At 40.1% G+C, this 14345-nt stretch overlaps 1 protein-coding gene across 38 annotated transcripts in view; it reads right to left on the bottom strand.

Moving 5' to 3' along the window:
• Nucleotides 1-14345, bottom strand: part of SECISBP2 (SECIS binding protein 2) — a 48618-nt gene that overhangs the window by 27738 nt on the left and 6535 nt on the right. For 20 of the 38 annotated variants that reach the window (XR_007061351.1, XR_007061350.1, XR_007061352.1 and 17 more), the window contains exons 3-8: nt 13704-13953; nt 13342-13483; nt 10494-10720; nt 6394-6472; nt 4650-4858; nt 800-922 (exon numbers count right to left, since the gene is read on the bottom strand). Coding sequence is in view for 24 of the 38 variants with exons in the window: in XM_047423856.1 (XP_047279812.1) it covers nt 800-922; nt 4650-4858; nt 6394-6472; nt 10494-10720; nt 13342-13483; nt 13704-13953 (1030 nt within the window). In the remaining 14 variants the exon portion in view is untranslated. Of the gene's footprint in view, nt 1-799; nt 923-4649; nt 4859-5224; nt 5333-6393; nt 6473-10493; nt 10721-13341; nt 13484-13703; nt 13954-14345 lie in introns of those variants that run through there. The other 18 variants (XR_007061354.1, XR_007061349.1, NM_001354697.2 and 15 more) reach the window with 9 other exon arrangements.

The following is a 14345-nucleotide window of genomic DNA, read 5'->3' as shown; positions in this document are numbered from 1 at the left end:
AACATGGGGCAGAAATATAAATTATTCACTTGTCTAAACCATAATGCTCTGCCACGGTAGGTTTTCAAACATGTAACCCAGCTATTCTCAAATGATGTTCTAAGAGCCTTGGGAACCCCCACCCCAAGTCTGTGGGAATGCCTGGGCTTGACCCTAAGCTGGGCACCTGGGCAGCACCTCTGAGAGAGCCTTCGGCCTGCACAAGCAGCCAGGCCACTTGCTCTGGTACAGCAATGTAAAGAAAACAACCAGGCACACGAGAAATTAAGTTAGAACCCAGGCTGGCTCCTTAGAGTACATGACATACTTGGAGTATCATGGAACAATTAAAGCATGCTTTTGGAAATTCCTGAAATCTTCCTGACTTGGGCCCTCAATGGTTCTATACTATTCTACATTTCTCTCTATAATGAAGCACTTTATAATAAGACTTCTGGATAGAAAAGGAGGCCCTGCAAAAGCCAGCATCCTAAAGCAAGAAAAAAAAAAAAAACAGGTAAAGAAGATAACTGAGGGGAAATATTAGTAATATGGCACACAAACTATTCAACTCTGATACAAGTAGTTTTGTCTCCAGACCATTCATTCATTTGGATGTTCACTGAGTGGCTGCTCTGAGACAACTGGGAAGCCAAAATGAAGAGGTGAGAAGAGTGGCTACTGTTTTCTTTAGCACTACAAAAATGATCATTAAAAAGCCCTGGAGATTTTCACTTAGGAAACCAATATGAACCCAAGTTTCTTTTAAGAAAGACCCACTTATTATATCACACCATGTGAATAAAAAATATAAATGTACTTCAATCCTTGGAGGCTCTTGAACTGTCAGGACTTCATATTTTGATGTAGATTTTTCTTTCTTTTTCTTATTCTTTCTTGAGGCTTCATTTTGTTCAAGGTCACTACCTTGTGATGCTTTAGACTAGAACAGAAAATCAAAGCAAAAAATCCTGTTTTTAGGGCGGTCAATAGAATGTTTAATACTATGTATCAACAAAATTAAGATATCAAGTCCTATAATCACATGACAATTTTATTCAGAATTAGGTTCCTCATCCCCTGTTTTTTAAAAAGCCAGCATTCACTAGAATAGTTCTGAAGGAAAAAAAAGTTTGTTCAAATAGTTGTAATGCCCAATTCCTTTTGAAAACTGGTGGATTTGGACAGAACCTAGTTTTCAGCTTGAGGAGATCATGGTGTTCGTGACCTTCCTGATCCCAGCCTAACCTCTCCATATAATTCCAGGCAGGCCATTTCCATCAGCACGACCCAGTCGTTCCTCATCTGCACATCACACCTGTCTGCAGAGCAGAATCACCCCTGGAACCTTCAGACAAACACCTGGGACCATCCCAGGACTGCTAAATGTGACCTCATCATTCCTACAGGCCCCTAACCCCCTGGGCCTCTCCTCATCCAGGTCAGATGTGCTTTGGCCACAGGGCCTTTGCACTGAAGCCCCTTCACTAGAATTTGGCTAAGCTGGGGCTGCTCCTCATCTCCATCTACCCGTTGCTTTCTACCCTTGGACTGCCCATGGTTTTCTCTTCAGAGCACTGATCACTCTCTGACATGTCCTACATCTGTCTGCGTGTTGTCGGCCTCCCTCCATCAGAATGGGGAGGCTCTAAAAGGGCAGGGAACTTTTTGTTTTAGGCCCTGCTTTATACCCAGTGCGAATTTACACTTCAGAAGTAAAAGTCTCAGCAGCTATTAAAAAGAATATGCTTATCTACTGACCCACAGGAGCTGTCCATGATGTTTTTCTAAGTGAAAAAGACAGGTTGAAGGGTAATGTGTATAAAATGATCGCATTTTAAGAAAACAAAAAACAAAACAAAACAAAAAAACAGAGAAACCCCTCTCTCTTTGTTCATATTTTCATGAGTCTGAGGCAGGACATATGCCAGATTGCTAATGAAGGTTTCTCTGAAGGTAGGCATCAAAAGTATGGGAGAGATGACCTTTTCCATAAGTAGATCACTGAAGTGTTACACTTATCATTTCTGTAATAAAATTTCACAATACAGAAAGTTTCTAAAAAAACCATTCTGATCACTATCACTCCAGCTATGTAAAATGCAAAGCTATTTGGGTTAGAAGATAACAGGAGATGCTGATTTTCTTCTCATCTTTTAGAATTTTTCTAAAATAAGCTTTTCTTAGACCTATAATTAAGAAAATTTTTAAAAAAGATCTTGGGAAAATAAAACAAAATCTGTTAACTCTTAGAATGCTAACTGCATATTAGGAAAACCGGCTCTGAGAGTGACTTGGCAGCTGCAACAAAGAATTAGACAGTGGGGGGCCAGGTGCAGCGGCATAGGCCTGTAATCCCAGCATTTGGGGAGGCCGAGGCAGATGGATCACCTGAGGTCAGGAGTTCGAGACCACCCTGACCAACATGGTGAAACCCCGTCTCTACTAAAACAATACAAAAATTAGCCAGGCATGGTGGCGGGCACCTGTAATCCCAGCTACTTGGGAGACTAAGGCAGGAGAATTGCTTGAACCCAGGAGGCGGAGGTTGCAGTGAGCCGAGATCACGCCATTGCACTCCAACCTGGGCGACAGAGCAAGACTCCATCTCAAAAAAAAAAAAAAAAAAAAAAAGAATTAGACAGTGGGCTGTTGTCCAGCCTGCGCCTGGCCACCCAGAGGAGCCCCAGAGACAGGCAGGAGGCTTCACCGAGAGTCAAGTTCAGTGTGTGCACAAAAGGAAGGGTCTCTCCCTTACACATACTGCTCTCTCTCAAATACATGCACAGAGCAATGAGGAACAAGCACACGTCTACCTTCACAGTAATTGTCACCACTATAAATACATAGCTACCATTTATGTGGAATGGGCTAATTACATTTTTGGAAATCAAAAAGTATCCTCATACTCAAAAAGACAGGAAACCATTACGCTAAACAAGGCCACATTTCAAGCTAACATAATATATCCGTATACAATGAAAATCAACAACCATATTTAGACCAATAAAAAAAAAAGGCTCTTGAAGAAACAGTTCTAGGAATCAATAAAAATGTAACTTAAAAGTTGGGTGTGGTGGCTCACGCCTGTAATCTCAGCACTTTGGGAGGCTGAGGCAGGAGGACTGCTTGAGCCCAGGAGTTCAAGACCAGCCTGGGAAACACGGCAAAACCCTGTCTCTATAAAAAATACAAATACTAGTTGGATGTGGTGGTGCATGCCTGTAGTCCCAGTTGCTAGAAAGGCTGAGGTGGAAGGATTGCTTGAGCCAGGGAGATCAAAGCTGCAGTGAAAAAAAAAAAAAAAAAAAAAAAAAAAGCACTTAAAATTACTTAAGGGAAAAAAATCTATTCTGAATGCTATCTTATAACAAGTAAATAAATTCCATTAACCAAAAATTAGTGACACGTACCACATGATCACAAAATGTAGAATTCAATTATTTTGCTACTAGTACTCTTGTACTGGTAAAAGCCATTTAAATTCAACAAAGACTGGGGGAAAAACAAGCAGAAACTTTATACACCAGAGCATAAACTTATGCCAACGTTTCTTCTTTAAAGAATTCAAAATGGCTCACAGATATTTTAAGTCGATATGTCTAAAATGTACATTCTCACTCATAAAGGAAAGCTATCACTTGTATTTCATGACTCAAAACCTATTTTTTATTCAAAGTGTAAGTACAATAAACTCAGACTAGTGACTACAGTATAGAATGAAACCCAATTACAGTTAGGATTTGGAGGGATTAAAAAAAGACTATCCTGGCCAGGCACGGTGGCTCACGCCAGTAATCCCAGCACTTTGGGAGGCCGAGGTGGATGGGTCACCTGAGGTCAGGAGTGAGATTAGCCTAGCCAATATGGTGAAGCCCCATCTCTACTAAAAATACAAAAATTAGCCAGGCATGGTGGCAGGCACCTGTAATCCCAGCTATTCGGGAGGCAGAGGCAGGAGAATTGCTTGAGCCTGAGAGGCGGAGCTTGCAGTGAGCCAAGATCATGCCACTGCACTCCAGGCTGGGCAACAGTGAGACCCCATCTAAAAAACAAAGACTATTCAGTGGCACAGAAAATCAACGTAATCAAAACGTGATGCACATCTCTTTTTCCCTAATCTTTTTTTATGATAGTACCATATATATAACATAAAACATACCATCTTAACTTTTTTTTTTTTTTCAGACGACGTCTCACTGTGTTGCCCAGGCTGGAGTGCACTGGTGCGATCTTGGCTCACTACAAGCTCCGCCTCCCGGGTTCATGCCATTCTCCTGTCTCAGCCTCCCGAGTAGCTGGGACTACAGGCACCCGCCACCATGCCCAGGTAATTTGTTTGTATTTCTTAGTAGAGATGGGGTTTCACTGTGTTAGCCAGGATGGTCTCCATCTCCTGACCTCGTGATCTGCCCGCCTTGGCCTCCCAAAGTGCTGGGATTACAGGCGTAAGCCACCGCACCCGGCCCGTCTTAACTATTTTTAAATGAATATTTCAGTGGCATTAAGTACACTCACTGTTGTGCAACCATCATCACCATCCATCTTCAGAAACTCATTTCCCCTAGCAAAACTGAAACTCTCTACCCATTAATAAATAACTTCTCATTCCCCACTCTACTGAGCCCCTGGCAACCACCATCCTACTTTCTGTCTCTAGTGACACGTACCTTTTGGGTAGGATGAATAATGTGTTTTTCTTTGTTGTAGGAAGGATCCGAAGATAAAGCTTCAGAAGATGGTATACTAACATTTTTAGGATCTGCTGATGAAGCAATGGTCTTTAAGTTTATCATAGAAGTAACATTTTTAGGGGCTGCTGACAGTTCTGTAGATAATGTCTGTCGAACAACATAACCCATTGGTGTCCAAGATAACTCTGCTCAAAGATAACCAAAATTGTTGAACAATCTCAACAGTAAAATAGAAATTCCTTAGTTACTCAAACATGCATTACATGAGGTAACTGCTCAGAGCATCATTAAATGTAGGCTATCATTTAAAACATCCTCTTGGAAACTATAGTAGTCACTAAACTTGTTTTTCTTCTTGGGGCATGCATGCTGCATTTTTTTCCCTTTTAACTTGTAAGGTTAATTTTCCTGGAAACTGGTTTTTTAACCTGGGGGTTGGAGGTGGGTAGACAAACAGTAGTTTTAGTTAAAAAACAACAATCCACAATAAATGTCCACGTGGCAAGCACACAGAATTAACGAACTAAAGATCAAATTTTGGCCCTACTAACCTTGAAGTGTACCTTTAACATCAGAAGTCAAAGATCACTAGACTTCAGCTATCACAATAACTGGTAATTTATTTCTTTTAGAACAGAGGCATAAGTACAGCAACACTACTCCTTTAGGTGCCCATGAAACTCTATATACAGACAAAACAAAGACATCTATCAGGACACAGGCAGGTGAACACCTGTCAGCAGCCTGTGGCTACCCCCAAGGGTAAAACAGACTGTTCCCCTCACTAGAGAACTACACATCCTCAGAGCAGCCTGTGAAGTACAGACCATTACTCAACCACATACATATCGAACATGAGAACACAAAAGAAAACACCCTATGAATAAATTTGGAATCATTTTGTAAAAATGTCTCTGTTAGGACAAGCTACTGTAAAAATATCAAAGCAGGGTACATGGAACTCTCTCTGAAAATATTACTTCTTGGCCAGGACAGGACAGATGAGCAGTCCTTACAGTGTGGCAGGAGGCTCCCATGACCCTTGCAGGTGTCTATGGAGTTAAAACCGTTCTGGAGTACAAACACATCAGTTGCCTTCCCTACTCTCCCTCTCTCACGAGAACACCTGGGAGTCTTCCAAATGCTGTATGAGGCAGGACCGTGAGGCAGGTGAATGCCATGGCAGATCTACAGAGCCAGATGGCAGAGCTGCACAAGTGGAAAGCAAGGCTGCTCTCTGCACTACAGCTTTTTAATTTTGAAAAACGGTTTTCCTAAAAATATGCTATCTTAAAATGCAATACGCTTAATTTATTGTTATTTTTAAGCAAATTTGTTTGAACTTTGAATAGGGCAAATGTTGACAGGTATCACCCAAATAAACAAGAGCTCTTTGGGGTTCTCAATCTTTAAAGGTCTCAAAAACTTTTGAGAATAGGCAATACTAAAGGAAGTAGTTACTGCTGAGTTCATAAAATTTCTCACTGAATTGGATGTGTACTTCATTTAGAATTCTTGTCTCTTATTTTATACTCTTTGTGTGTGGATGTGGGATCTCATCTACTTAACTTTCTAAACTAACACTGATGTTAGGTTACCCACAATTCATTAGCTGTCTTAAGTCTTTACAACAAAAATCATTTCAACTGCACTGGAGTTAAAAATGAACTTAAAAAATCTATGACATTTTAAAAATTAACATTTTTGCAGCCACTTTTACCTCTTGTACATGAAGGAGAATTGGTAGCGGCATTAGCAGTTACAGATTCATTTGGGTTATTTTTCACCACTATTTCACCCTAAAAAGCAAACACATTAGATGTCATCAGAGAAATGCAAATTAAAACAAGGAGATAACACTACATATCAAAATCCAGAACACTTTGACAACAGAAATCCTTATCCATTGCTGGTAAGAATGAAAAACGTTACAGCCACTTTGGGAGATATTTAATAGTTTAGCAATTCCTTACAAAACTAACCATACTCTTACCATATGATTTAGCCACTGCACTCCTTGGTAATTATCCAAAGGAGGTGAAAACTTATGTCCACACAAAAACCTGCACATGGATGTTTATAGCAGCTTTACTCATAACTGCCACAACTTGGAAGCAGCCAAGATGTGGGCTACATACTATATGATTCCAACTATATGACATTCTAGAAAAGACAAAACTGTGGAGACAATAAAAAGATAGTAGTTAGCAGGGGCTGAGGGGAGGAAGGGATAAACAGGTGAAGCACAGAAGATTTTTAGGGCAGTGAAACCACTCTGTACCATACTACTATGGTAGACACACATCATTATGCATTTCCCCAAACTCTTAGAAGACACAACACCAACAGTGAACCCTAATGCAAACGATGCGCTTTGGGTGATGATGACATGTCAATGCAGGTCATCAATTGTAACAAATGCATTACTCTAGCACAAGATGTTGATAATGAAGGAGGCTGTGTGTGTGTGTGTGTGTGCAGGCAAGGGGCATATGGGAAATCTGTACTTTCCTCTCAACTTTGCTGTGAACCTAAAACTGCTCTCGAACATAAAATCTATTTTTTTAAAAAAGCCTAAGCAGTTACTTTCCATTTCAAAGTAATCATTTAATTTTAAAATATAGCTTCCCTTGCCATTCTTAAAATCTGCAAAATATATGCTAATTAAAATTTCCAAATATATAAGTACATAAAGTGAAAAGTTAAATTACTTCCTTCAACCAAATCTCACTCCCTAGAGGAAAACACCACCCACATCTATAGCTTCATTAGTATCCTTCTACTTCTTTGCCTATGATATAAACATTTGTGTATCATATTTTTATACGGATTCCCATAATGGAATCACACCACACATAGTATTGTGGCAACTTTTAAAAAAACTTTAACATACTACTGACAAGCTTTACAAGTTGGCACAGATGCACCACACAATTCTTAAAGCTGCAATGATCCCATGTAAATGCAAAAGCCATCATTCACTAGGCACACACCAAAGTTCAACAGTCCATCAAAATGTCTACAAAGACAACAAATGTAAGCCTGCAATGTATGCCCTGTGTTATGAAGACAGAAGGCTGTCTCACATATTAAACATAAGACATATAATGACGCTATGTGTATGGGGGGGTCGAGTATATTAAAAGGCTCCTCCAAGTGACTAACACCAGAGGTAAAAGTAAATTAAAAGATTCAAAGTTGAATCCATTAAGTAGATAATGGATTTAAAATAATTTTTAAAATTCATATGCTTCACAAATTTATCCATTTGTCAATTCATAACATGAGTCCAGGAATAAAAAATAATATTAAAACACAGCCTGTTCTTTTAGTAAACATAACTTTTATGCTCACCAAGGCCAATAAAAAATTAGAAATAGCTTACCTGTTCAAGAATGGTTAAATAAATTATACCTATCAGTATGAGAGATCCAATGCAAGTTGCTTTCAAAAAATACTTAATGACATGGAAAAAATACGAACAAAGTTTTAAACAATTCAAACGTAAGACTGTACGTATTTATAATCTCAAGGTGAAGGAAATTCCCACAATAGACTATTTTTAAAAGATTATGTGTTAAGCATGCTTTTCTTTTGGTTGTACAATTTCAGACAAATATATATATTTTTTGTCATTTTCAGACATTACTAATATCATCAGGAAAAAGTTTCTTTTAGAAGGAAAATAACTTTTTAAAAAGCCCACACATAATTCAAGAGTGTATGTGACTCTCTTAATAGAGCAATCAGTATGTATATCTTCTATCTTACTTCATATGTTCAAACACATTAACAGTCACATGTAACAAGTGACCTTGATATAAAGCCCCAGTCACACTCCTGCTCACTCCACGAGCTGACCCTGAGGCTTACACAGCATCCTGGACTACTTCTGCAGGGCACTCATGAGAGCGGTACGTGATGAAGACCGGCAGCGCCGTGGCTATTCAGCCACCGCACAAACCCAGCCTGGAGCCCCTGGAGCAGGCCAGATGGAACTATGATTTTTAGATAGCCATCAGTTGGCCTGACTTCTCCCAGCTCTTTGACAGGAAAGCACCATGCTACAACAGTGTGAGGGTACAACTGTATGAGGGTCCTGCATGCAAACTGCTACACAATGGCCTATCTTCTGCACATTACCAGCAACTGTCACTGAGCCTTCAGGCCTTAGTGTCCAGGCACCTAACAGAAGTCCAAGGGCAGGAAACAAATCCTTTCTAAATTCAAGAGGTAAAGCGAATGGGTGAGGCCTGTTTTCTTTATCTTTCTTCTTTCTACTTGCCTTCGTACTGGCATGTACTCCACTGCTCCTTCAGCGGAAATTCATCAGAAGCCATTTTAGGAACTACTAACCAGACACTATTTCTTCCTGGAAGTCTCAAATCAATCCATTTGAGAGAAATGCCTCAACTTGGTGGACTAAAACTCTGAGATCAAATGTTGAACAAAGTGAATTAACCTGCTGTAATAAGTTTTCCTGAATTTGCTGCATCATTAACAAGACAAAGATGTAATAAAAGCCTGGAAAATTCAAAAGTTACACTATGCAGTTTTAAATATTACTACAGTTAAGTCCTCAGTACCATGGACAGGTTCTTGGAAACTGTGACTTTAAACAAAACAACATAAAACAAAACCAATTCCTTTTTTCATCAACATCATAATGAAATGATGGTGAAGAAAATGTTACTGGAGGACCTACTATACAGCCTTTCATTTAAAGTTGCAGTTTCCAAGAACCTATTGACAACATTATGTGAGGACTTAATGTATTTCAATTTTTATAAAAGTCTTTTTTTTCTATATTGGAAAAAGTGCTATCAGCATGTTAGAAGTAGCGTGTTGAAAATGGGCTGTCAAAGCGGCTTGACTCTGTTACAACCTTTTCCTTCTGAGGCACCACAATACCTTTCAGCTACCATATAAAAAGGAGTATACTAGATTGGGCACGGTGGCTCAAGCCTGTAATCCCAGCACTTTGGGAGGCCAAGGCAGGTGGATCACCTGAAGTCAGGAGTTGGAGACCAGCCAGACCAATATGGTGAAACCCCATCTCTACTAAAAATACAAAAAAATTAGCCAGATATGGTGGCATGTACCTGTAGTCCCAGCTACTCCGGAGGCTGAGGCAGGAGAACTGCTTGAACCCGGAAGGCGGGGATTGTAGTGAGCCAAGAAGCCAAGATCGTGCCACTGCACTTCAGCCTGGGCAACACAGTGAGACTCCCTCCCCACAAAAAAAAAGGTATACTAGGTGATTCTTTTAAAACAATAGCTACAGCCGGGCACAGTGGCGTGGGTGGCTCACGCCTGTAATCCTAGCACTTTGGGAGGCCCAGGCAGGCGGATTGCCTTAGCTCAGGAATTCAAGACCAGCCTGGGCAACATGGTGAAATCCCGTCTCTACTAAAATACAAAAAAAAAATTAGCCAGCGTGGCAGTGTGCGCCCGTAGTCCCAGCTACTCGAGAGGCTGAGGCAGGAGAATTGCTTGAACCCGGGAGGCGGAGGTTGCAGTGAGCTGAGATCGTGCCACTGCACTGCAGCCTGGTGACAGAGCGAGACTCCGTTTCAAAAACAAAACAAAACAAAACAAAACGCACAAATAAAACAATAGCTGCACTAGATGTTACAGCCTCATTATAAACTGTTCAAACAAAGAAGGTCATATAAGTGCACAATGAAAGGCTTCCCCCAATACATCCTCCCCAGCTCCATGGACATCAAAGCCCACAGCAAGATTTAATGTGTAATGTTTGAAATGAGACAATTTAAAGTGTACAAAGGAAAAAGAAAAAGAGAGAAACCCTCACCTCACCTTTGATAACACTGCAGCTGGTTTTACTACTTCTCTTAGAAGAGAAATGTCGGTAGAGACAGAGTGGACAGGTCCCCACTTGGGTTGCTTCTGTATCTCTGACATATTGTTCTCTGCACCTTGCAGTTCAGGAAAGTCCAGTGTGGTAAATTCAAACTCAGGTTTGGAGGTAGATACATTTTTTGCAATGATTCTGGATTTCCTGTCTGTTCGCTTATGGTAACCATCTGTAATTACAAAATTAAAAGTAAGAGTAAAAATTTAGTTACTGTTTGATGACCAGTATGCAAGCAAAAATTGCAGAGTACAAAGACTATTGCTATTGATGCAACAGGTTGTTGTCAAAACACCGTAACTCTTACCGGTGTTGTTCACCTTCCTTTGTAAAAGTATAAAGTTTAAATGACCATAAGTATCAATCACTCTGGTTGGACCATCATGCAGAAAAACCAAAATGCACTGTACATTTAGGAGTATGTATAGTCACGCGCCACATATGATGGTCTGATCAGCAATGGATTACGTATACAACAGCCCCATAAGATTGTAATGAAGCTGAAAAATTCCTATTGTCTACTGGTAATGTCATGGTGCGATTACTCACGTTTGTGGTGATGCCAGTGTAAACAAACCTACTGAGCTAACAGGCATATAAAAGTATAGTACATGCGATGATGTACTGTACATAATACTCGGTAATGACAATAAACAACTATGTCACTTGTTTATGTATTATACTTTTTATCTTTGGAGTATATACTCCCACTACTTACAAAAGAAAAATTTGGCCAGGGCAAGGTGGCTCACGCCTTAATCCCAGCACTTCGGGAGGCTGAGGCAGGCAGATGCAGCCACGAGTTCCAGACCAGCCTGGCCAACATGGTAAAACCCCAACTCTATTGAAAATACAAAAATTAGCTGGGTGTGGGGGCGCATGCCCCCTAGCTACTTGGGAGGCTGAGGCACAAGAATTGCTTGAACTTGGGAGGCAGAGGTTGCAGTGAGCCAAAATAGTGCCACTGCACTCCAGCCTGTGTAACACAGTGAGACTCTGTCTCAAAAAAAAAAAAAAAACACAAAACGACAAAAGAAAAACTTAAGTATAAAGCAGCTTCAGGCAGGTCCCTCAGGAGGGATTCCAGAATAAGGCATTGTTATCACAGGAGATGACAGCTCCACGCATGTTACTGTCCCTGAAGACCTTCCAGTGGGACAATATGTGGAGGTGGAAGACAGTGATACAGATGATTCTGACCCTGTACAGGCCTAGGCTAATGTGTGTGGTTGTGTCTTCGTTTTTAATTAAAAAGTGTAGAAAGTTAAAAAAAAATTAATAGAAAAAAGCTTATAGAGTAAGGATGTAAAGAAAGAAAATATTTTTGTCCAAGCCAAGTATTTTTGGTTTTTCTGCATGTTTGTGTTTTATTACAAAAGGTAAGTGTTATTACAAGAGTCAGAAAGTTAGAAAAATTAAAAATGTATAAAGTAAAAAAGTTACAGTAAGCTAAGGTTAATTATTGAAAAAAATACTTTTATAAATTTCATGTAGCCTAAGTGTACAATGTTTAGAACGTCTCCAACAGTGTACAGTAACACCCTAGGCCTTCACATTCACCCACCACTCAGTCATCGAATCACCCAGAGCAACTTCCAGTTCTGCCAGCTCCATTCATGGTAAGTGCCCTATACGGGTAAAACATTTTATATCTTTTTTTTTTTTTTGGAGACGGAGTCTCGCTCTGTCTCCCAGGCTGGAGTGCAGGGACGCTTGATCTCGGCTCACTGCAAGCTCCGCCTCCCGGGTTCATGCCATTCTCCTGCCTCAGCCTCCCGAGTAGCTGGAACTACAGGTGCCCGCCACCACGCCAGGCTAATATTTTGTATTTTCAGTTGAGACGGGGTTTCACCGTGTTAGCCAGGATGATCTTGATCTCCTGACCTCGTGATCCGCCCGTCTCGGACTCCCAAAGTGCTGGGATTACAGGCGTGAGCCACCGCTGTACCTTTTCTATATTTTGATACACAAATACTTACCACTATGTTACAACTGCCTACAATATTCAGTACAATAATATGGTCTAAAGGTTTATAACCTAGGAACAACAGGCTATATCATATAGCCTAGCTAGGTGGTTGGCTATACCATCTAGGTCTGTGTAAGTACACTCTAAATGTTCCCACAATGACGAAATCACCTAAGGGCACATTTCTCAGAATGTGTCCCCATCAGTAAGTGAGGCATGACTATAATTCTAAGGCTGATGAAATAGTTACCTTAACCTGATTGTGCAGCTGGGCATTTTAATTATTCTTTTTAGACATTTTATTGTATTGCAAATTTAAAGGGACTCTAATGAATTTTCTGTGCTAGTAAACTTTCCATCTTTCAGTTTGCTGGAATAAACTAGAGGGAAGCAGGTAGCATAAAACGCATAACCTCTTCCCCATCTTTCTCCTGAAATGCAATGGATAAGGTAGGCTGCAGCTACATGAAGCCACTCATTTAATTATAAGACCACAGTTACTACAGTTAATAAACGTCCCTTGTACCAGATGGTTTATGAGTGAAGTCAATGAAAAGAGAAAAATGTATATACCAAATAATACAAATTATAGGCACTTAAGATCCCACAATGCAACAGGTACCAAATAATAATCCCATCCCTGGGAAGAAATACCTCTAGAATTGCTCAGGAAGTCTGACGCCCTAAGCTGTGTCAGACCCAGGTCTCATTTCTTGGAGTAGTCACAATGAACAAGCCCATAGAAACAGCTGTATACATAGCAGGAATGTTTCTGGGGCACAAGGAGTAGGCTCGCATTATACTACATTGTTGGTTATTTTTACCTGATTTCAAACTATTCTCAGCGTAAATGGACAAATGATGTGAACCTCTAGCTGATTTTATCTCAGATGATATAGTTCCATCAGCCCTTTCACTGTCAAACTTTTGCTGATCATACGTTTTTTTCTCATCATAGGTTTTCTTCTGCAGGAAAGATTAAAAAGCAACATGAAATAAAACCACCACTATAAAAAAGGTTTAAAGCAGCAAAATATTAAGTATTCACAATTCAATCATTTTTTAAAAGGTTAAATACAAAAAAATACATGATACTTAAATATGATGTACAAATTTACCATTTCTTTACATTTTAAACATTAAAGCAACCAACTAAAGGACACAACAAAACAACATCACTACTCACCTTAAACAGAGCTTTCATTTCTTGTGGGAGAGGGCATGTGTTCTCATTTCGATGCTTCACTGTTTGAAAACCTCGGTAACAACTGGGTTGGTTATAAAGATACTGGGAGCCAGGCACTGAGTAAACATTCTGTGTGGAGTCAAGGGTATAAGGAGAATAGGCATATGGATGAAGAGTTATCTCAGAAGATAAATACTGAGGTGGAAAAGTTGAAGCTCCAAAGGCCATGTCTTCAGTATATATTTTCTGCCTAAGTAAAAAGTGTAAACTTTAGTTGCAGATTTCATACTGCAAACCAAGAAGCTTTTCTGTAATAAACTAATTCAAACTGAACATTTAATATTTCTGAGACCATTCACTCTAGCACTGGAATAATCCCTAATTAAAAGCCAAATAAAATCTCTGGGTGTTTCTTTCTCACCCTGCAAAGAAAGATGTTGACTCTATTTTTTCACTAATGAGCTGGAAGTCCGTAAGAAACATCAACAGAGCCAGAAGATGCTCCAGCAGCTTTTCACCCAATTGCTACCAAGTATTTGGGAAAGCCTCTCCCAGCAACCCTGGCCAAAATGCCCCTAAAGACCATTCTCTCTGCTGCGGGGAGACCCAACAGCCTGCAATGCCTCCACCAAGGCTCCTGCA

This window comes from Homo sapiens, chromosome 9 (genome assembly GCF_000001405.40).
Source record: "Homo sapiens chromosome 9, GRCh38.p14 Primary Assembly".
NCBI classification, from domain to species: domain Eukaryota; kingdom Metazoa; phylum Chordata; class Mammalia; order Primates; family Hominidae; genus Homo; species Homo sapiens.
The sequence above is the reverse complement of the archived record's forward strand: the minus strand, read 5'-3'. Positions and strand labels throughout refer to the sequence as shown.